This window comes from Homo sapiens, chromosome 7, assembly GCF_000001405.40.
Source record: "Homo sapiens chromosome 7, GRCh38.p14 Primary Assembly".
Lineage (NCBI taxonomy): Eukaryota > Metazoa > Chordata > Mammalia > Primates > Hominidae > Homo > Homo sapiens.
Window position 1 is genome coordinate 38,776,400 of NC_000007.14, and position 25,045 is coordinate 38,801,444.

The 25,045-nt window shown below is 38.7% G+C and overlaps 1 protein-coding gene across 3 annotated transcripts in view; it reads right to left on the reverse strand.

The window, feature by feature from the left end:
• VPS41 (VPS41 subunit of HOPS complex) overlaps positions 1–25,045 on the reverse strand; it is a 186,218-nt gene that overhangs the window by 53,426 nt on the left and 107,747 nt on the right. For all 3 annotated transcript variants that reach the window (XR_007060008.1, NM_080631.4, NM_014396.4), the window contains 4 exons: positions 20,346–20,465; positions 19,066–19,212; positions 13,402–13,468; positions 280–377 (listed from right to left, as the gene is read on the reverse strand). Coding sequence is in view for 2 of the 3 variants with exons in the window: in NM_080631.4 (NP_542198.2) it covers positions 280–377; positions 13,402–13,468; positions 19,066–19,212; positions 20,346–20,465 (432 nt within the window). In the remaining variant the exon portion in view is untranslated. The remainder of the gene's footprint in view (positions 1–279; positions 378–13,401; positions 13,469–19,065; positions 19,213–20,345; positions 20,466–25,045) is intronic.

A 25,045-nucleotide genomic window follows, 5' to 3' on the forward strand; every position in this document is an offset into this window, starting at 1 on the left:
CAGCAAGAGGAATCCTTCATTCCTTTTGACTAATATACCAAGAGAGGTCGAAAAAAAAGACTCTTTTTTGGCTCAGCAATAGGAACAAAGGCAGGCAATGAGTAGAGTTTCCGGAAAGTAAATATGTCAGGTCTAAAGGGTAATCTCTGCCAACCTTATTTTATAGGTCAGAAAGTTCTGCTCAGATTATAGCGTATGCTACTGATGAACAACCTGATCTGGGTGTAATGCTAAAAGTGAACCCCCACATGCCTTTGTATCTGGGGAGAAAATAATTACCGTTTTTTCTGAAATCTCCTTTACATACGAAAGTACAACAAGCTGATCACAGAGAGGTGCAAGTCCACTGATGTAGAATTCAGTTTCAAACTGAGACACTGCAAACAAAAGGGATACAGGAGTCATCATCAACAGGGGCAAACAGCAGCACACATCTGGAGGAACACAATGACTGTGAATGCTAGTGGACCCCTTTTTAAAAGCTAACGTAAAGGGGACACCGTTGAACATACTTTCATAACTCAGCACTGCAAGTGCTTCACAACGATCAATCCTGGAAACGAATATGTGGGAAAGTAGACTTGCAAATTCCCATCACAAACAAAAATGAATCCAACAATAATAGCAGCATGAATGGTCAAGGGTGACACTGTGCTTAGGTAGTTTAAAATGACATAGACTACATGAAGATGCTTTGAAACCCATAAAAAGAAATATAAACCATTATTAGTAACAGTAATAATTTTTTAAAATTCCTGAGTTCGTTTTTCTCAATTGGGGCATTATAGTAGTACAAAGGTCACAAAGAATGTTATCTGTAATTATGAAACACTATTTTGGAGAAGAGGGATATTATTTAAAGAACTTGAAGTTAAAAAAAGATGCATAAATACAGATTACTTTATGATGAAACATCAGTATTTCTTAAGTGAAATAAAGGCTAGAGAAAAATAATAAATTTCTCTTTCCTTTAAAAAAAAATCCATTTAAAATCAAGAAGACATATTGCATCACTTAAGAAGTATGTGACTTTAATTGCACTGGACCCCAAAGATCTGACAGAAAGCTCAGAAGTACACATATTATTATTATATGATTCTAATTATTAGCTGCTATAAAATATAAAAGATCATTGTTTTAAGAGACTGAGATTGGGAGTGGCTTGTTTCAGAGCAGAAGCTAACTGATACAGTAGTGGTATTACAGAGATCCTTCCAGAAATCATACTCTACACTTCACAGATTCATTTGGGAGTAAACTCTTGTTCTGACCCACCACATTTTCTAAGTTTCTTCATTCAGATCATCTCCACGGTTCTGTGGTATTAGCTGCAGATTTAGTTAACTTCCACACTCTTTTCCCAATGAGGGGACCTCAATGTATCATACTGGAACCAATACTGAATGCTGAGTAAGGAAATTTGGGTTATAACTTCCACTAAATTGAACTTGAACAAGTCATTTTAACATTTCCCAACTATAAGAGAAAGGAATGACAGTAGAAATAAAATTCATAATACAGATGAAATACTGAATTTTCCTTTGTCCCCCTCTTTCTTTCCCTTGCAGATTACTTAGTGTTCCTTGTCTCTGCTGACCTTTAATGATCCTCCTTACGCAGCTGTTATCACAATTTAATTTTCGCACCAAAATAAAATTGTGGATGACCAAAAAGATGTAATAGTTAGCAACATAAACTTATAAAAAGATAATATTTCATCTGCTTTGTCCTCAATTAAAGTACCATACAATGGAAGTCCAAGGGCAAGTGCTCTGGTCCCAGTTCTGCCAGGAACACATTTTTTCCTTAATCTCTGTGGGCTTGAACCAAATGTGTTTATCCAGATACTTAAGAATAGTTTTGGTAAAGTGGTAATTGTGATAAATGTTCACAAAAGAGCTTATATGGAGAACCACCTCAACCTCCACCACATGTGCAGAGACAGTGTTTCTAGCGTAACCAGGCTGCGGAAGGTTCTAGAGAAGCTCACAGTGCTGTGCATGCACGTGGGCGGTGAAGCAGGGAGCAGGGGAGAGCCGGAATGTACAGATGATATTAAACAGTATGGGGCCACAAAGGACCCAGTGATGAAAGAGATGGCAGTTTCACATTTTAGAAGACATATTAACAAGAGGTTTTGGTTGTCATCACTCCTGAGGTTACTAATCTCTGACTGGTAGAAATGGACTTGCATTCTGTTTTACTAAATCACATTCCATTTTTGAAATGCTACACATACAGTTCCCTTACCAGCAACTTGGGTGAAGAGCAGAGAATCAGAGATTCTCACAGAAATCACAGGCTTTGCTGTGCTTGTCTGCCACAGACACCTAAGGGAAAACGTCTCCTAATCACAAAAGAAGGGGTGGGAGAAGGAGGTATTCTCCCCACTTGGGATGCCAAATAGGCTGCCTAGTCTCACTGACAGACACTGTCAGTGTTTCTCCTAAAGGTAACCAAATATACATCAAAGGCCTTGGTTCTTGAGAATGAGCTCCAAGATACAGAACAGAGAAACTACGAAATAATCCTACCCAAATCTTTCCTCCTCTACATGCCAACTCCCCAGTCCACAATAGCTTGTATGAGTAAGACAGAAAATTTCCTGTTCTCTAATTAAGAACATGATAGAAACTCCAATGTGTTCTAAAACAAAACAAAGAAAAATTGCAGGTGCACATATCTATTTCACTTCTCAATTCCAGATGTTGTAATAAACGCTTACTTGTTAAGTACTAAACCTTGCCAAATTTTGCTAATTGAGAATTAATAATTTGGACACGGACTATATGCAGTGGCTAAATCACAAGCTGACAAAAATGTTATTCATAAAGAAAAGATGTGGTACATGAAAATAATATTGTCAAGACTTCCAGACGCACAGGTAAGCAAGTAATCAACATTTGGATAAAACTGAAACTAAATTATGTCTTTCTTTTTGTTAAAGTAATTCCCTTATACCAACAAAAATCTCTTATAGAAAACAAAATTGCAATTATAGTAATACTCAGCATGATTCTCAAATTAAGAATTCCAAAATAATGGCCATTTATCTGGTTTCGAGTACTCTCCCACTCAGCAATTCATCTCCATTAATACCCACTGGTAATGATATCATGCAAAAAAGAACTCACTTCTAATGTGAGTTGCTGATTTAGGGAAATGTCTGCAGCCATTCTGCCACAAAGTAAGACATTTTAGAATAAATGGTGGTGTCTTGTTTTTCCATTAGTCTTTACTAATGCAGCGAAACATAATTGCTTTTAGATTTAACAAGATTCTGTTTATCTTTTATAGCGATGCTGAGTCCCAGAAGGGCTGGCTGCAGACAGTGGTGTCAAAATGAACATGAAGGTATAAGGAATATTCTTCATATAGATTTAGAGAAAGAAATGTTGAATGACAATATATATTCTTGTAAAAAATGCACATAAAATATATAAAAGCTTATGGACTGACTTTGTAAAATATATTCAAGTAATTACAGACTTTATATTTCAAATTTTCAGTGGACGAATGGAAGTTTCAGTTTATTTACTTTCACTAAAATTCTATTCTATTCCACGTAAAAATGACTCTATTAATTTAAATAAAATATTTTGTTCTCCTAAAGGAGACTCAGTTTGAATACAGGTGGCTGTCAGTTCTAATACTACAGAAGCTCATTTTCAACCTGATTATCTGGAAAAGATAAATCACAAAGAAAATAAACATAAATTCTGCTAGAGAGGAAATACATGAAAACAGGGAGCAAAAGCTGGACAGGGTGTTTTTTTTTTTGGTTTTTGTTTTTTTTTTTTTGGAGTGAAAAATGCAGGCAGAGTTCCTAAAGGTAGCCACAAAAGACAGTGGCTTTACTTCAGATCAAGGTCATCTAGAAAGCCAGCTGAGGCTCAGCTCGCGGGCCCTGCAGGGAGTGCGCTATGTTCACCTAGATGATGGCCTTATACTATGGTGGGCATTACAGCTGAGGCACAGCCTTCCTCCTCCTGATGGAGGTGGAAGGACTTCTGCATTCTGCTTTATTCAGGAGGATAAAAGCATTCCTAGACATGCTAGAAATAACTCAAGAAAAAAGACAGAGATTCTAGCAGAGTAAGAAAGAGAGGTTCAAAAGGACTATATTCACAGGAAAATTCTATTCAGCAAGGTCTTCTAGATCCAGAATGAGGATGAGATGAATACGATTCTGTACACGGTCCTCATCCAAAAGGGAGGCTAGAGGCCCCTTGATTAGCTGCCCCATGGAAATATAATGTGGGCCAAAACACAAATGACATATGTAATTTAAAATTTCCCAGTAGCCACGTGCTATAGCTTGGATGTGTGGCCCTGCCCAAATCTCATGTTGAACTGTAATCCCCAGTGTTGGACGAGGGGCCTGGTGGGAAATGATTAGATCATGGGAACGGATTTCTCATGAATGGTCATTTCTCATGACTGTTTTAGCACAATCCTCTTGGTACTGTCCTCACGACAGTGAGTTCTCACAAGATCTGGTGGTTTAGAAGTGTGTGGCATCTACCCCTGCCTCTTGCTCCTGCCCTGGCCATGTGAGGTGCCTTCTCCCACTTCGTCTTCCACCATGATTTAAGTTTCCTGAGGCCTCCCCAGAAGCCAACCAGATGCCAGCATCATGCTTACTGTATAGCCTGCAGGACTGTGAGAATTAAACCTCTTTTCTTTATAAATTATCCAGTCTCAGGAATTTCTTTATAGGAATGCAAGAATGGACTACACCACGATAAAGAGTTCAAAAAAAGAGGTGAAATTTTAATAATACATAACATACCTAAAATATTATTTCAACATGTAATAATATAAAAAGTGATTAATGAGATATTTTACCTTTTATTTCTAGACTGTCTTTGGAATTCTGTATGTAGCACAAATCAATCCACACTAGCCATACCACAAAGACTTAACAGCTACAGTGGCTAATGGTTATCACATTTGACAGTGCAGGTCTAGATGCCCAAGTTTTTCGCTTTAAAGTCCAATAATTTCATTAGAACATATCTTGGTGTTGCTCATTATGGGTCACTATTTTCGGATACACAGTGTGCTATTTTAATTTATAATTTCAACTTCTGTTTCTCTGCATTTTCATGAAATTTTTCTTGACATTGTCTATAGTATTTGTCCCATTCTCTAGTTTTATTTTTTCCTCAGGGACTCTTTATTGGTAGACTGAATTATCTTTGCCTGTCTTCAGTATTTATCACTTAACCTTAATCTTTTTGTTCTTATTGCTTTGTGATTTTTACAATTTTCCTCCTGCTCCCCTTCTATTCCTCTTACCAACATTATCTTTGCATCTATTTGTTCTTGTCTTCCTTCAGGTTCAGTCTTCAATTCTGAAATGAGCTTTTATTTATTAATTCTTCCTGAAGCCTGTCACCTAATTTGAGATTTTCAAATTCTGATTTCTTACATCACTTTTTAAAGATGTCTTATAGCTCCTCTGAAACTGGAAATTACAGTTGTAATCTATTGCGTAGGTGTGTCTTTCTGGTATGTCTGCTTCTTACTCACTTTTTCTTAAAACTTATTATGGATTTAACGTTGCTTGCTTTTTAGGTGAAATGACCATTATTGAACTCTTAGAGCTCCCTCTTCTGCTGTTTCCATTTGATATGAAAAATATGGCAGATTGCTTTCTGAGATTTCCTGGCTCAGCTCCTCCCTGGTGTTATCTGGACCTGTTTCTTTTGTTTCTATTGTCCCTGTCTCATTCAGGCTTTATTCTGCTCCCAGCAGTGTCTCCTCAGTGGAGAGAGGAGGCCTGGCTGCTCCACAGTGTGAGTTGCCAGGGGTAGCTGGGCTGCCCAGCCTCTCACACCTAACTGCAGGTCCTGGGCCCAGTTCTCAGAGCAGCCTCTTGGCCTTTCCAGTGAATGCCAACTGGCTATCTTGGAGTTCCCCTGGCCTCAAGTCTGCTAGATGACCACTTGCTCCCCTCTGCTTTCTCTCACACAGATGCTGATATCACCCTGCAGCGATCAGTGTTTTATTTTCCCATTAATTTGTGTCTTGGGGCTCTCAGGACTACCTTTGTCACTAAGTTTTGTTGTAAATGTTGTCTGTGGGTTTTTGGTTTTGTGACCTAGTTGTTCTGCTTTTATGGGAGGACTAGGTAGTTTGAAAAATTATGCTGCCACTGCCACTACATTCCCAGAATCTTCTAACCACAAAATTTTCACATATTGCTGTTATACATGTTTTAATACATCAACCTTACATTGCCCAGGGCAATGGGGTCAGGGTTAGAGTCACAAATAGATCAACAGTGTCTGGCCCTCGATAGCATACACACCATCAGTTGCATAATGAATGCCATATGATTGGTATAAAAATTAACAAGAAAGAACTTTCTCATTCCTTGGGTCTCATAATCTCTGAGGGTTACAACTTAAGTCAATGAAGAGTGACTGAGGCTGGGTGCGGTGGCTCACGCCTTTAATCACAGCAATTTGGGAGGCCGAGGTGGACGGATCACTTGAGGTCAGGAGTTCGAGACCAGCCTGGCCACCATGGTAAAACCCCGCCTCTATTAAACATATAAAAATTAGCTGGCAGTGGTGACAACGTGCCTGTAGCCCCAGCTACTTGGGAGGCTGAGGCAGGAGAATCGCTTGAACCCGCGAGCACCCAGGAGGCAGAGGCTGTAGTAAGCTGAGATCCTGCCACTGCACACCAGCCTGGGTGATAGAGCGAGACTCTGCCTCAAAAAAAAAGAAAAAAGAGTAACTGAGTATCAATTACACGAGACAGTCTTCTAGATGCATCAAGATGACTAAGACCTGACCCTAACTTAAAGGAGATTGTGAGTCTGAATATTTAAAGAAATAATTAGGCCAGGTGTGGTGGCTCACGCTTGTAATCCCAGCACTTTGGGAGGCCAAGGCAGGTGGATCACAAGGTCAGGAGCTCAAGACCAGCCTGGCCAAGAAGGTGAAACCCCATCTCTACTAAAAATACAAAAATTAGCCAAGCGTGGTGGCAGGCGCCTGTAATCCCAGCTACTTGGGAGGCTGAGGCAGAGAATTGCTTGAACCTGGGAGGCAGCGATTACAGTGAGCCGAGATTGTGCCACTGTACTCCAGCCTAGGCAACAGAGCGAAACTCTGTCTCAAAAAAAAAAAGAGATAATTAAAATACCACATGCTATGTGCAAAAACAGGAACAGGTGTAAAACAAAAAATAGCACAGCGCAAGAAAATTTAGCTTCTGAGGAGGTACAGATGAGGGTGGAAACAGCAGCAATAATCATGACCATAAGCCCCTTAAGCCAGAAATGGTGTGGATAACATGAGAGAAAACAACCTCTTCGTTTCATTTAAAAAAAAAACTGTTTAAAACCCTAATGGATATTAGATTACAAAGGATAAAAATCAAAATTTGTTTAAAGTAAAAAACCATCCTCCAATAATTCCCAACTAGGTTATCTCACTTCTTATCTGTGTATTCAAACCTATGAGACAACATTAAATCAATATTTTTATTACTTGTACCTCTGTCATATATGTTTATAGATACATTTTATTGAGAAATGCAATTATAAAACATTATCAATCTCCTCGGAATCATTCAGTAAACCCTTATTTACATCTTCCCCAAATTGTCTTTAAATTACAAATTTTATAAAACACAATTTTCAGATCTTCTGATTTTAAAAGAAACCACTATTTTTCTCTCTCACTGTAACTAAATATAATACTAATATTAATAATAGCTCCCATTTAATGAACATTACTATGCTGTGAGGCAGTATGCTAAATATTTACATACAATATTGCTTTTCACCACAACCACCCTATGGTTATTTTAGAGAGGGAAGGAGGCTCAGAGGGGTTAAGTAACTTGACTAAAGTCACTTAAGTGGAAGATAAGAGAAGTAGGAATCTGAAGTCCTATTTTTCCCAACCATAAGTCACTCTAGAAAATGTAAGTCAGGGCCGGGTATGGTGGCTCACGCCTGTAATCCCAGCATGTTGGGAGGCCAAGGTGGGAGGATTTCTTGAGCCCAGTTTGATACCAGCATGGGCAACAAAAGGAGACCACATCTTTACAAAAAATTAAAAAATTAGCCAGGCATGGTGGTGCACGCCTGTAGTCCCAGCTACTTAGAAGGCTGAGGTGGGAGGATCGCTTTGGCCCAGGAGGCTGAGGTTGCAGTAAGGCGTGATTATGCCACTGCACTAAAGCCTGGGCAAAGAGCAAGACCCTATATCGAAAGAAGGAGGGGGGGAGTTAGGGGGAAGGAGGAGGGGAAGGGGAAGAATATAAGAATACAGAGATGCTTAGATTCAAAGCACACTGCAGTTGGCAAGAACAGAAGTGAGGGCTCTCTGGTGATTCTGCTGCATGCAGTCAGGGTGCCCCAGCCCCTCTCTTGAATTTGCAGTGCTGCTGCAAGGGCTAAAGCGCTGCAGTACACAGAACTTGCACTGCCTCTTTTCCCCCATTTCTTATTCCCTTATTGGTCCCCAAATGTCCATTAGCTAAATGCTACCCAGATTTCTTTATTGAAGTTAAATAAGGTGACATCCCATAGATCTTAGCTTCTATGATTCTTAAAGAAACAAACAAAAATGTGTGTCAAGCAATTTACAAATAAGAACAATTACCCTTCATTGTCTTATATTCATTTATGAAAATGCATTGAGGGCCCTTTATGATAGATAGTGTCTTATTCCCAAGAGATTCTGGCCCCTTAGTCACCAGATATTAGTATTTTATAATCAACTGGATGTAATACCCACAGACTTTTCAATAAGTTTAGACATTCTGTCAGCATGACCACTTATCACTGAAAATACATTTGGAAATAACGGCACTTCAACAGCTTCAGGCTGTGCTAAGAAGCAGACACATTAAAGTAAAACTGACTTCACAATGCTTTACATCAGCAAATTATGGAGAAGATCTGCTACATGAAGTGAAATTGAAAAGAATGGCTAATGGACAAAATAACAAAAACATTCAAATCAGACAGGAGCCGAACAGTACACACAGATAAAAAACTGCTGAAAACAAATTTAGTTTGCAATTTAATTCCGTATTTTATAATCAATATTCAGCAAACTATTGTCAATTAAATGACAACACTAAGCTGATAGGATTATCTCATCTACCAAATTTTAGTCTCCTGAAACAGCACTGATGAGGAATATTTAGTGAGTATGTTACAGCACATTGCTTAGACAAAAGAAAAGGAAAGGCATTGCCAATGACCTGCTAATCACAAGGTTCAAACCAAATGTTACACTTTATTTTATAAATATAAAACTACCTTGTTGCATCAACTAAACTTAAGCTAAACACTAAAAAATAGCAAACAAGGGCTTTTCTTCTTTTTAAAAGGGCTGAAAGAAGCATAATCTAAGTTTGGTTCCCTTTCCTTAGAAACAATTCCAAAGGTCACCCAAGGCAATCAGGTTCTATAAATTATCTAAAAATGTGGAGGAGAAGCAATGAAGAAAAGCTCTCAATCTCAGGATAAAGCAAGTGAAAATATAATTTCTAAGTCTCCAAATGAGATATTTCTCTGAACCAAAATAAAAAAACAAATCTACTGCATTTCCATTTCATCTGGCAGTTCCTAGAAAAGGTGAGCAGCTATCATCACTGATATAGAAAAAGGGTCTTCAGATTCTAGAGCATTTCTGCAGTGGTCTGTATCTGAATGTCTGGAACAAGACTCTGTAAACAAAGGCCAGGGGCTGGGTAGAGGAAACATGGGAAGCACTGTGTGACACCATGATTACAAGCAACAACTTTACGGCTAGGCACACCTAAGTGCAAAAACTGCCTTGTTTATGAATAATCTTGAGCAGGTTACCTAACCCTTCTGAACATCAGCTTCTTCACTTACACCATGGGGATAGTAGCCGCTACCCACTCGCATACTGGGAAGATTAGATGACCTTCTGTTTGCAATGTATTCAGCACTGTGCTTGGTGGTGGTTGTTATATAAGGAACAATATATATTTGTTACTTCAGGTGCTTCAGATTTCTTACCATTACTTATTATGGAGAAACTTCATTAATTCCACTCCTAACAACAAAAACCTGAGTCTACACTACTGAGCGGGGAAAGAGTTGTTACATCCCTCCCAAAAGGAGGAATGAATAGATGAACAGATACGTAATAAAGCAAATATAGTAAAATCTTAACTGCAGAATCCTGGAGGTTCTATTCACTACAAAGTTCTTTTCTTTAATGAAAATTTCATAACAAAATGTTAGAAAAAAAATTCAATGCAGAACAGATTATTACAGAAATTTATACTGAACTATCTATAACAGAACAGAAAACCATACATACCTAGATCCTCAAGTAAAAACACCTTGAAGAATGCCAGCTGTCATCATTTCTATTGAGACTCAGACTAAGAGATGAAACCACATCACTCCTGGGCACACACACACAAAGATCCCACTACTGTAACCCATATAGCTGAATCAAAATGGTAACAGGTGGATAAAGAGAGATACTTAGATCTAGGAAAGAATTATCTCACAACTCTCCTCCACTATGAAAACAGATCACCAATTTTCAGGTCACTGTTTTTTCAGTCAATTAAAAGACTGAAAAAAGAATGATGTGCTAAATTCTAAGACCACAGTATATGATCAATGAAGATACAGACAATACTGAAAGTAAAAAAGATTTCCCTTCTTTTCTCTTCCCTTTCTTCCTGACTTGTCATTCTATATAGATTCTCATATAGTTGTTTAATCTCAATTAAACAAAATTCCACATGAAATTAAGACCAAGAAGTCAATCATTAATTCCTTGCATGTAAGTCAACTACCCCTGGCAGAAAACTCCCAGAAAATGACACACAAACATTGGTTTCATTTCCCAACATCATGATGTCAGCTCTCCAACTACCATACCACAGAGATCATGGAAGACTTTGGTGAAAAGTACCAGAGGCTCAGGGAGTCCTGTGAGAATACAAGAGATGCAAGTGAAGTTAAAACATGGATGCTAGGCACAAACCATAATCTATTTTTAACAATGCAATTTGAAAGAAAATATGATGTCCCAAAAGCCCTATGTATAGAGAATCTCTTCATGTGTTGGTGATTGGCCAAGAAGCTTAATCTTCATTATATTATTATTATTTTTCATTTAACAGAATAAATCAACAGCCTATGTGATAGGAATAACTTTCGTGCTATTTTTGAGAGTCTGAGTTGTAACAGAAAGAGTTATAAACAATTGGCTTCTAAGAAATGTACAGCCATACGTATTTCTTTAATCTTAATGCCATTTTCACCTCATTTACCAAAGAACAGTGGCTCACACTATTCAGGGCTAAAGGAAATTGTAATCCAGACCTCCTAATATTTCCCTTTCTGTTATCCTACTTAAGGACTCTTATCCAAACTATTTTGCCTCCTGCTGTGGAAATGGCTTATATTCTTAAAGGTTTACTCTTAAGAGGGGAAAAAATGGTACTTAACCATTAACCATAGTAGTAAAATGTCAGTAATGTGATACTGTTAGTATCCACATATGGTCTATTTCACGTAAATTACAGTACAGATGAACCACACTGCAATAATGTGATCCCAGGGTTCTAGGCTAATAGGGCCACCACTGAGCCAGCTATCAGCAGTCACAGAGTTGGGATGAAAGTCTGCATAGTGATAATAACCATCATGGTTTAGTGAGCATCTACTGTGTGCCAAGTACCATGTTAGGCACATTTCTTATGCCATGTCTAATTCCCACACCCATCCTAAAAGATAGATATTATCACCTCCATTTAACAGGTGAGAAAAGGATGGTCAAGAAGGTTAAGTAACCTCATCAAGATCACACACTTCAGCAAACTTCCTTGCCTCCCTGGAAGCTTTCTGGTGGTTCTGTAGAGTTAGATTCTATCCATTTTTAACGCTATAGTAGTAAGATCCTGGACAAGTCATTTACCTCCTAAGCCTCAATTTCTTCATCTATAGAATAAAAAGCAAACTACCTGCACTTAAAGAGTTCCTGTGAGGATAAAGTGAGTTACTGCAGTTTATGTAAGCAGCACAATGCCCTCCACCTAGTACATGATCAATAAGTATCAGCTAAGGAAAGAAGATGACAATTGCTACATTTTTATACCTCTCTGGCAATTAAAAATATCCAAATACTAATCTCTCAGGACATTGCATTGAGATGTTGAGAGGCTTTTGTTTTTCTTTTTATTTTCTAGTAGGCAAGGAAAGAAGAAAAAGATATTGAAACAATTATCTATATAGTCTAGTCATAAATCTTGTCTCTTATCTTGGTCCTCAGTTTTTCTCAGCACTGCTACATTCTTCATATACCTACTGTCCATACACTAAGCAATCTGAACTATGTAGTTATACTCCTAAAGTTAAAAAAAAAGATTAAAACTCTACCACCAACTTCTGACTTCAAGTACAAAATAGCCCAGATTTAAATGTTATAACCACATTAGTCATGTGGGTAATGTATGTCTTTCTATTTACAGAAATACAATCATGTGCAAATAATTTATTTCAACTTCACCTTGGCAGAATAACCCATCAAATTGATATTACCCATCCACCAAGCAAATGGGCAAATGAACTTTTCAGCTGACTCATAATATGGCAATTTTTTTTCTCAGATTAATTTTTTCAAACTAAATTATAAAAGTCATGGTACATCATCCAGGGCATACTTCTCCTGAACAGCTGTTTCCCAGAGTCACTGATTCATTCAACTCAATATTAAGCACCTTCTATGTGCAAGTATTGTGCCAGGTCCTCAAGATACAAATGGTGAGCAAAAACAGACCCTGTGTGTGCTCAAAAGGAGGTGACAGTCAGGTAGAAAAGACAGAAATGTATCAAATAATCACAGGATCACTGGAACCCGTGACAAGTGCTAGAAAGGGGAGGAGGCCTGCAGTGCTGTAGTGCCTAAAATGGGAAGACCTGACTCAGTCAGGGAGGTCCAGTGGCTTTCCCAGTGCTTTCCCTGGAAAGCAACACTCTAGCCAAATACTGTGCTAGACAAGGGGAAAGAGAGGCATGGACAGGTAAAAGGTCAGTGTGGCTGCAGCACAGAGACCAAGGAGAAGCTTGGCATAAGCTACAGCTGGAGAGGTGGGTAGGGGCCAACACAGATCCCCGTGATCCACTGAGGAGTTCCATCTGCACTCTGAGAACGATGTGGAGGAACTGAAGGATGATGACAAGATCTGATCTGTATTTTGACAGCAGTGGGGACAGCAGATGACAGTAATTCACAGTGGAAGAAGATAAACCAGTTAGGAGGCTGCTGCAGGGATCCAGGCAAAAGACTATGGCAGTCTGGGTGAGATTAATGAAGACGAAAATTTTGAATGAAGTTTTACATCCACAGAAGGCAAGTGTTGGAGCCATACCTATTTCAACATATCGACTTGGCAAATCCCTCATTTCACTGGCATGCCGTTCCTTCACTGAGCACACCTGGAAAATAAGTTCGCAGGTTATTTTATTCATTTGATGGAAAATTCTTCATAACATTTTATTCAGTATATGGTATCTTTGTTAAATTAACCTTGTAGCACTGCAGATGGAGTACAATCTACCCTATGACTTAAATGACAGAAATTAATGTAAATGACATATAGCAATCACTATTTATATTCACCAACTTTATTCCTCAATAAAGCCTGATTCACATAAGTTCAGCTTTCCTGGTGAGACTGAACCTGAAGTCAAGTACTAATCCAAGTACAACTTCTGTCAGTGATCAGGGATTTTTCCTTTTTCTTTTACATAGTGTTCTTTTATAGCTGCTACCATTAACTGTAACTATGGTATGGAAAATTCTAAAATATAGAAAAACTCAAAGGGGAAAACAAGCATTAGTCATTGTTCCAGCACAAAGAGAACACCATTAATAATCTTTTTTATGAAAGCTACTTTTATTAACCTAACAATTTAATACAAGTAATTCAATATGTTATTTAAAGATTCTTCTACAACATAATTCTGTAAAGTTGTTATAATACAGTGAGCCCTCCATATCCATGGGTTTTGCATCCATGAATTCTACATTCATGGATTTAACCAAACAAGGATCAGAAATATTCAGGAAAAAAAAAAATTCTACAAAATTCCAAAAAGCAAAACTTGACCTTGCTGTACACCAACTACTTCATTAAGTCTATGCAAATGCAGTGATGTGTAGGCATTGTATCAGGTGTTATAAGTAATCTACAGATGATTTAAAGTATACAGGAGGATGTGCATAGGTTATATGCAAATACCGCATCATTTTATATATGCAAATGTTACATCATTTATATAAGCATCAGAGGAGCCCAGGATCCACAGGGGTCCTGGAACCAATTCCCCACAGGCACTGAGGGATGATTGCCTTTTATTACATGAATGTACTATACTTAATCAACCCCCTTTGGGGGCATATTTTTTTGTTTTTATATCTATTGTAAGCAATAGTGCAATCAACATACTTATATATAAAACTTTAGGACTTTTGTTTACTTAGGATAAATTCCTAGAAGTAGAATTGATACCAATGGGTACATAAACTTTTGTAAGGTTTTGTTTTTTAATATACGTAGTATACTGAGTTGCTGCCCAGCAACACTGCAGCGACTCAGTGAATGCAGAGTGCCCACTTTCCCTCAGGCGGGGCTTGAACCCATGGCTGCAGAGGTAGAAGCCTCCACATAGAAGTGACCGGCTGTCTTCTTCCTTGATTGCTTTTTGCCATTTGTCTCTTGTCCGTTTCATATAACTGCCTGTCCACTTCTCCAATTTTCTTCCCTTCTGGTAGACTTTTGAGCTTATAAGTTATCCACTCTTCTTCCCACACTTACTAGGGAAACTACTAAATCATCTAATGGCACATTCCACAATGCCAAATGGACAACTGTTTTAATGTGCTGATATAAGTACATGAGGAACAGTCTTTCAAATGGTTTGAAGTATAATAAAAAAGCAAATGTATCGGCAATATTAGTGAACACTTTTTTGGGCAGTTACTGGCAGTGCTCCTGAGTTAAGGCCTTTGTGAAATAGATATCATTATTTTCTTAAGATTATGGTGCAGTGGGGGAGACACAAAAATAAGGCACTTTACTGAAGTGTGACAGGGAAGTACAGAGCAGGGGCATCTCCTGCTAGGGCAGGAAGACTTCCTGGAAGAAGTGACATGTAAGTTGAAGCAGGAGAGACAACACAGGAGAACACGGTGATATGACAGCATAGGGCCTTCAACTGGAAGCTCAATCGGACAGAAATGAAGGGCATGGGGGAAGAAGGGGACAGAGTTGAGGCTGGAGAGTAACGGAGAGGCAGATCACAAAGAACCTTGGAAGTCATGTTTATGATCAGTTATCCTATGGGCAAGGAGGGGACTGACCTCATCTGACCTGCACTTAGATTATTCTAGCTATACTGTTTAGGATAGGTTTAGGGGGGGTAAAACCAGCACCAAAAAGACTTGACAGGAAGATGAAGTGCAGAGATTTGAGAGACATTGACAGAACTTGAGGGCTGACAGTCTTCCAACACTCAGACACCCCTGAAAGACAATGTTATTATGTTTAATCCAGAGATGAGGACACTGAGGCTCTGTGAGTGATGCCAGACTGCCTGGCCAGAGCTGGAATTCACACCAAGGCCTGACTGGTATCTCGCTGGTCATGCCACAGCTTGAGAACAAGGATGCATTGCACTACTGGTAGCTGGGCATGGCTCTACTGCACTCCTCAGCTCTGTGGTCTGGGCTCACCCAGCACCTGTCTCATAGGTAGGAAGTGGCAGGTAAAGGTGGGTGAATAGGTAAGTGCTACCTTAAGCTCATGTCTTGCATAAGCACAAATCAATGACTGTAAGAGCCCTTTACCACTGATAGGTGGGTTCTTGCCCATGAACTCTAATCTGCTTCCTCCACTTCTCCACATGGGTGGATAACAGGCATCTCTCAAGTAGACACACCTAAAACCAACTCTTGCCTTTTTCACTCTAAACATGCTTTATCAACAGTCTTTCCCATTTCAGCAAAAGGTAGTTTCACCTTCCAGTATGTTAGGTGACTGTGATCTTACACCCCACATCCAACTGTCAACAAATACTGCAGAGTCTACCATCAAAATATATCCAGGATCTGGTCATTTCTCACCAGCTGCATTACACTGACCTGAGACAACATTATTTTTTATGGAGATGACTGCGGTAGCCTAATTGGTCTCCCCTCTTGACTGCCCCTTTGCCGTTTAGCTCCACACAGCAACCAGAGATCCTTCCAAAATACAAGTTAGATCACTTAACTGACTCCACAACAGCTCAAAGCCCTGTGCTGGCTTCCTACCTCAGTCAAATTAAAAGCCAAAGACTTCTCAAGGGCCCCTGGGCTCCAACATCACCTGCTCCTCCACCACACCCTCCCCGACCCCCACTTACATCCCTCTCCTCCACATCTGCTCCACTCACTCTGACACAAACAGCTTCCTTGCTGTTCCTCAAAAGCACACCAATCACACTCCTGCTTCAAGAATTTTTGCACTCCTGCTCCTTCTGCTAACACCTCCTACCCCAGGCCCCCATAGAGCTGTATAACTTTTCTCTCCAGATCTCTGACCAAACAACATATTAGTTATTGGACAGGCCATCCCTGGACCACCCTATATTAAATGGTACCTACCCCAATCCCTTTTCCTATTATCCTGTTAAAATGTTCTCCTTTTTATTTGCCACCTTCAACATGCTATACTTACTTGTTTTTGTCCACCTTCCTCACTAGAACATAAATTTCCCAAGGGAAGGAACTCATTCATTTGTATATTTGTGTTCTGCAACACTAGAACACTGCCTGGCACACTGCAGGCACCTGGTAAACGTTTGTTGGGCAAATGAATGAATGAAGTAAATGGTAAGGTCCAATTGCACACTTTATTTTACTGTTTCTGGTTGCTTCTCCCCAACAAGATTGCTGTCCCTCTGAAGAAAGACCACGTCCTTATCTCCTCTTCCTTCAACAGAACTCACTAAGAGTCTACACTGAGAAGTGCTCAACATATAGAACTGAGTTTGAAGAAAAGGAACCTCCAATAAAATGAAATATTTGACATAAAAATTGTATAGAAGCTGGATCTTAACTTGGGCATAAAGAAAGGGTATATGTTTCCCATGGCTGCTATAACAGACTGCCACACTTGGTGGTTTAAAACAACAGAGATGTTGTTTTAAACATCTGTTACAGTTCCGCAGGCTACAAGTCTGAAATTGGGTTCACTGGGCTAAAATCAAGGTGTTGGCAAGGCTGTACTTCCTCTGGAGGCTCTAGGGGACAATCTGCTGTCTCCTCCAGCTTTCTGGTGGCTGCCACCATTCACTGACCACCTCACTCCAATTTCTGCCTCCACAGTGGTACTGCCTTCTCCTCCTCTCTTCCATGTTAGCATCTCCCTCTGCCTCCCTCTCATAAAGATAAACGTGATTGCATTTAGGGCCCACCCAGATAATGTAGGTTAATTCCCCATCTCAAGATCCTTAACTTAATCATATCTTTTGCTAAATAAAGTAATATTTACCTTTTTGTCATATAAAGAAACATTTATAGGTTCTAGGAATTAGGGCTTGCTATCCTTGGGGCCATTATTCAGCATACCAGAGAAAGAATTTCTGGGAGTAATGAGTAAACTTGTTACATATTTCTACAGGCTAATTTTCCTTGTCTTTCACCATAAGAAAAGAAAATCAGAACTTTAAAACTAACAAGCAACCTGGTCCATTTAAGGGATTTTTAAAATACTAAGAATATAAATTTATTGGATGAGTAACCACACACGTGGGACAGGGAGCCCAGGGAATCCCTTTTTCCATCCTACGATATAGGCACAGTTTCCTTCCTGTTACCCTAAATATAAATCAGGTTGTGTTCATGTAACACATGAAGAAAAAAGAACCTGAATGATAACAACATGAGGGCTGGGAGGGCCTGAAGTGTAACAATGTTTGTTTTGCTAATAACAATCATTACATTAATAATTTTCCACTTTCCCTTTCCAGAGAAGAGTACATTTTAAATAGCCACGTCCCCTTCATGACATTGCTAGAACTTTATATAATAATGACAGCTAACATTTATTAAGCAATTACATCAGATTCTATGCAAAACTCTTTACATGCATTGGCTCATTTATTTCTCCCCAAAACTTGTGATGTGAGAACAATTAGCACTACCACTTTGCAGATGAGGACAGTAAGGCTCACAGAGGATCCCAAAGGAAAATGGAGAAGCTGGACTTGATCCCAGGTCTGTCTGGCCTCAAAGCCTGAGCTCTTCCATGAGACTACTGCTGGGATACTCTCTCATGCCATTTTTATACTTCCACTAATTTTTAGTTTATTTTGTTCGAATTAAGCTGTCTATTTTTTAAAGGGAAACAACTTTTGGCTCTGAAGTATCTAATATAACAGAAGCACTAGTAGGCATAAAATAAATGTGAATGAGCTTTGGGCCCCCTTTCACAGAACAGCTAAATTTCATTTACCCAGGCGCATAAGGGTCAGATAATTAAACTTCAGAAAATATGCCCAAATCTTATTATTGATGATAAGTCTGGGTCTCTACTCTATCAAATTATTACCAAGCAGCAGGATGATTTAATTTTAACCTTCTCTCTCCACTATCAATAACTCTAATGAAGAAGTGAAGGGTCAAAGCTAAGGGAAAATGAAAAGAATAATAAAGAGAAGAAAACCTGACTAAACAACAAAACTAACCCCATGTTCTGTAAATAGCTAAGGCCAGCTGGGATGTGAGAAATTAAAAGAAGATTGAAAAAGACAGCACCATTCTCAACACGAAAAAGTTCACAAATAGTTTTACATGCCATGGAAAAGAAAGAATACATCTTAAAACTTATGCACAGGAAATAATTTGAGCATTAAATGGTAATCACGTCACAATAACATCCAAGTGAAAAGATTTGGGTCCTAGAAGCCAATCAAGACTCACAGTCCTTTGGACCACCCTCAGTGGATCTATAACAACACGGACTTATTATAAAGACAAGCAAAACCACCTTGACAGAAGTCCCCCAGCCAATAATCAGTGTCACATTGTCCTTCCAGCAGAGGCTGCAGGGATACATGTCTGGGCGAAGACTTATATCATCCCGGGGCACATTGGTGATTCTTTGCTTTGAGATGATGTCAAAAATCTTCACACCCTGGAAAATAATACAGCAGTAAGCATCCTCTACTCAGGAGGAAAGTAACAGAAAACTTATTAACAGCCCCTGCTACATACTACCAATAACCAGCACGGAGAAATATTAGCAGTGTTTACTGAGCATGCAAGGAAAATGCTCCTGCTCCACACAAACCCTGTGGGAACTAAAACCACAAGGAAACCTCCACCCTTCTTTCTGGACAAAGGAGATTTTCTTAGATGGCATGGGTGACTCAAACCCAACAGAAACATGAAATGTACAAACATCAATAGCTGCATTTCCAAACTGACAGACAAGTAACATTTCTAATTTTATCGTTCCACCATGAAAAATGAAGTTTGTTTTTTAGAAAGGCTTTGAGTCTGAAAAGCCACCTATATAAAGAAAACTACATCTGACATTTTAAAGTTCTCAAATGAAAACATCAGGCAAGCAGCTAACTAAAAATGAACCAAGAGACCACAGCTTTGTTTTACCTTCATCGTGACCCAGGAGAAGTAAGAAAAGTCCAGAATAAAAAGGTAGAGTCTAGGCAGATTTCTACCATTTAAAACTGAATAGAACCGATTTACTAAATTATACCTTGATGTTTCAAAAGATATGCCAGATGTCAAAAAGACCATTTTTAAAACTTCCTACTAGCCCCAATTCATAGCAAGTAAACTTTAAGTTAAAATGCAGCACTGAAAATTACGATCCACTTTCTTACAGACAGGTCTATACTTCTGTCTATGATTATACTGGGAGTAAAAGAGAAATCAGCAATATTCTGCACTTGTTTCATATCAACTCTTACTTGCCTTTGGCCAACAGGCAAATGATATTTTCAAGACCCATTCCCAATGCAGTCCTTCAATTATTAAGATAGCTTTTCATTTTCTTGGCTACTCTCCATGCCTCAGGTTTCTTACTCTAAAATAGATTCCAGAATATGTTGGGAATTACTATATTATGAAAGCCAAAAGCAATCTAATTTCTTTAACCTCCTAGGTATGATACCAATCGTCCTTACACCCTTTAGAAATCACCACCACAGCAAGTGGCATCTTTTCCCTTCATTACAGCCCTATCAAGTTGGCCATTCTTCTGCCACTGAACAAGCATTAGGAAGACAGAGGCATATTTTTTACCATATTATTGGCCCAAGCAATCAGATGGCCTCTCCACTTCACACTCCTTATGTTCCCTTCCCCTTCATGCAGAACAGCAGACTTCCATCTGTTCATCCAAGACCGTTCAAACAGTAGCAGCTAGGGACAAAAAGCATAAACAAAGAATCTTAGAAACTGAAAATAATGTATCAGGTTCTTTACTTACTAGTTTTACCTATCCTCGTGACCAAATAACAAACAAGTCACTCTCGACGTCTTTAATGTAGACTTACAGTAGTATGTTATTTGTACCTTGGAAAGAATTCCTAGCACATCATATTCTCCCCAGGAAGTTGTTTAAAATGGATGAGTGTTGAAGTTACTACAAGGCCAAGCCACAAGGTGGCACCAAAACACCAAGATTCATGGAAAATAATGCACATTAGTTAATCAAAAGATTTGTATCGCAAAAGTTCTTCAAATGATTGTCCGGGAACTAATTTATTTTGTAAATTGGGAAATCAAAACCTCTTTTAAGTTTTTCACTGAAAATAAGATATTAGTCACAGATTAAACTGTAATAGAAACAGTCTATGTTTTTCATTTGACTCAAATAATTGAACAATGACTTTTGAACAGTAATTCATGTCACAAAATAAAAAAACAATTGGAATTAAGCTTCTTTAGAAATTTCATAGTATCTAGGGTCTTTATTTTAACGGGAAGATTCTATCATTCAAAAAACCTGCTGGATAAATTTTAATATAAAATATAACTGGTCAAAAACCTCTACGATTAATAAAGATGTAATTCTAGGAAGTCATACATTATTAAGAACACAATAAATATTTTTCTTGACATATTCCATTTAAATCCTTTAAGAAAAGACATTTATACAGTATGTAACTTAAGGCATGCAATCCTGAAACACATGTTTATCCTTTCAAAGCAAATGCTGACAACAGATTCCATAACAGAATTACTAAAATTCCTACCACTACAAGCAATTTCAGTCTACCTTAGTATATTTTATGTCCTCTACCCACCCCAAAAGAGGCAGGGGAAACAGGTTAACAGGGGAAAGAGAGTAAATTCACATTTTATTTGTATTTCCTGTATATCTTTCTCAATAGACTAATACAGGCAGAGGAAGCACAAAATAAAATCCCTAAAATTAAATATGATGTCCATCATCACAAGTAAGCAAAGTACAGTTACTTTAAAATGCTACGACAGTTTGAAGTTGTGTGACTTCACAACTTCCACAGGGAGACTGGAGGCAGGGATTCTTCTGACCATACTTAGCCCCATCTTCCCATCAGATATATTCTCAGAGACCTTCTAACCCACCCTGTCCTCTCCTATCCCAGGTTCCAATTCAGAAGTCACTACTACCATGCCTTCCTACCCCCACAGTTAGAGGCCTTCGGGAGTGTCCCCAGACTGTGATTCAGCCTCTTCCTCCCATTTGCAGAAAACAGAGAACAGACCCCAGAAATGTAGGAAAGGGGGAGAAAGGCTGAGCATACAGTTCCTGCTACAGAGAAGATTATGCCCCACTAAAGACAGGCAGCTAAAAACAATTATTTTTATTTATTTATTTTTGAGATGGAGTCTCACTCTGTTACCCAGGCTGGAGTGCAGTGGCACCATCTCAGCTCACTGCAACCTCCACCTCCTGGGTTCTAGTGATTCTCCTGCTTCAGCCTCCCAAGTAGCTGGGATTACAGGCATGCACCACCATGTCTGGCTAATTTTTGTACTTTTAGTAGAGACGGGGTTTCACCATGTTGGCCAGACTGGTCTCGAACTCCTGACCTCAGGTGATCCACCGGTCTTGGCCTCCCGAAGTGCTGGGATTACAGGTGTGAGCAACCACGCCTGGCCACAACAATTAAACATGATGAATTGATAAGATCAAAATGTCTATCTTCTATCTGTGGCCTGGATCTGATGGAGGTGATCGTCCGAAATGGGTGAAGCACAGTGAGTGCTCAATAATCACCTGCTGGAATGAAGGGTTGGCAGGATGGCCGGGAGAACAGCAGGGTGGGACACAGCATCGAATTCCTTTCCCTCACCAATTCCCACCTAGAAATGACCAATGTAGTACTAAGAGGAGAACAGTCTGCACCTGTGTTGAAAAAGTTAAATATGCTCCAAATTTTAAGCTAAAAATTATGTAAAATATGCTAATAATAAGACTCCAGTGAAGGCCATGATTTAACTCATTCCCCCAGAAAAAGCCTGCCTGGGAAGTCAGGCAGGTACTAGAATGCCACAACACCCCCTACACTCAGTGTAATGGGGCAGGAACGAAGGGGAGTGGCCAGTCTTACTCTGAAACACAAAGGGTTGGGTCCCCAAGCATGTAGCCAGCACTGTAGCTGTCCCAGGTAGGAAGGAAAGCAGGCACTCTGACAAAAGGCAGGCACCTATGGAAAAATCCTGCATTTAAAAGAATACAAATTATCCAGGGAGTAATCCCCAACTTGTGACTCCATATGAATAACAAGACATTCAAAAAAAACAAAAGAACTTAAAAGTAAAATCTAATTCTTATCATCATAATTCTCATGTAACAACAAAATTAAGAAATTAATAACGAAGAATGAGAGAAAGAACAATACAAAACAAAAATGGTACAAAAAACATTCTCAATCTTTGGGTAAAAGAGGAATTCATATGGTAACCAGAGTACTTTGAAAATGAGAAATACTATAAACCTAAACTTTATGGGATACAATCAAAGTTGTAAAAAAAAGGAAAATCTAGATTTAAAAGTTAATAATGAACATGACATGTCGCTACACAACAAAACAAAAACATTTCATTGAGGGATACGAAAGGAGAACTCAATAAACAGAAAGGCACATTATTCATGGATAGTAAGACTCCAATTCTCACTAAAGAGCTTAAGTCTCATTAAATTAACCTATAATTTTAATGCAAGTCCAAAAAAATCCAAAGGGATTATTTCTAGAAATTCAAAAAATGCTAAAAATTCATTTTAAAAAATGAGAGAATAACAGGAATTTTTAAAAAATTAAGTAATTTAGGGGGAGGAATGGATTCATCCAGACAGATAGTAAAACATTTTATAAAATCAACACTCAAAACAATACAGCAATGTTTCTAGAATTGATAGATGAAGGAAAAAGAATGAACTGATAAAGACGAATCAAAATGATATGATCAGGCATGGGTATGTGGGGTGGGGGGTACAGTGGAGTATGTGCAGAGAAAGAGGTATCTTCAAACTACTGAACTGCGGTCTTGGACACCGTCTTTCTGGAGGATCATTTGGCATCATGGACTCAAAGCTTTTAAAAAAAATGACACCAGGAAGTTGCTACCTAGAAACTTACGCTAAGAAATGATCAGACAAGTTAGTAAAGATGCATGTAGAGCTATTTATAACAGCCAGAAATGGACTAACAACTGAGGAATGACGGAGCATAATACGATGGAGCACACACAATGAGTATGTATCCATTATTATTTTATGCATGTATCTTCATTAACAGAAAAAGCTATGAGGGCATATTAAATAAAAAAGCAGATGACAAAATAGTATTCAATACAATGTCCTTAAAATAAAATGTGAATGTGTATTCACATATATTATAAAATCTAAAAGATACATGACAAAGTAATCCTAATTCGATAAATGCGTGCTGAAATTTTATATTATTTTTATTTTATAATTATTCTGCACTAAATATATGAATTTTTTATGTTAATACATTAATGGGAATGAAAATCCATTCTCTTATTTTTACAATCAGGAAAACTTAGGGGAATAGTTAAAATGAAACAACAAAGTAATATCAAAAATTCACTGGAGATTGGGTGCAGCGGCTCATGCCTGTAATCCCAGCATTTTGGGAGGCCGAGGTGGGTGGATCACCTGAGGTCGGGAGTTTGAGACCAGCCTGGCCAACACGGTGAAACCCCGTCTCTACTAAAAATACAAAAAAATTAGCCAAGCATGGTGGCCGGCACCTGTAATCCCAGCTACTCCAGGGGGTGAGGCAGGAGAATCGCTTGAACCTAGGAGGAGGAGGTTGCAGTGAGCCAAGATTGTGCCATTGCACTCCAGCCTGGGCAACAAGAGCAAAACTCTGTCTCAAAATAAATAAATAAATAAATAAAAATTCACTGGAACTTAAAGAAGTAATGTTTGAGGCATATTGAACATGTATTAGAATGAATTTACATAAACTGTATATACTTTTCAAATAAAACATTAACTTCTTCAGAAAACTGTTAATTAAATCTTGTTGCAGTTCCTACCAAAATGCAAGCTCACTCCAATGGACCCTTTCTGTTATACTTGGTGTGCTCCGAGCTATGGGAGGAAGCAGAGGTGGCAGAACTCTGGCCTCCTTTTGCCTCCTACTCTACCTCCCAAAACAAGAAACTAAAAACTTCCAGCAGAGGGGAGGAGGCAAAGGAAGGACAGACGAATTCTGAATCCAGGCCATCTCAGGATTGAGTCCCAAAAACCTTGTGGACCCTGCTCTGACATGCAATTAAAAGAGCAAAGAAGCTTCTCCCAATGACATTTCTACAATGCAGACAGGCACATGCCATTCTATGCAACTGATGTGTGCTCAAAAATGGAGGGGGGCTAAAAATTAACCTCTGTAAATGAAACAAATTTTAACTAATTAATATTACAAGTTTTGACAGGATTCACGTTATTTTCTTATGTTTTTCAAATAGCCTAAGTCCCT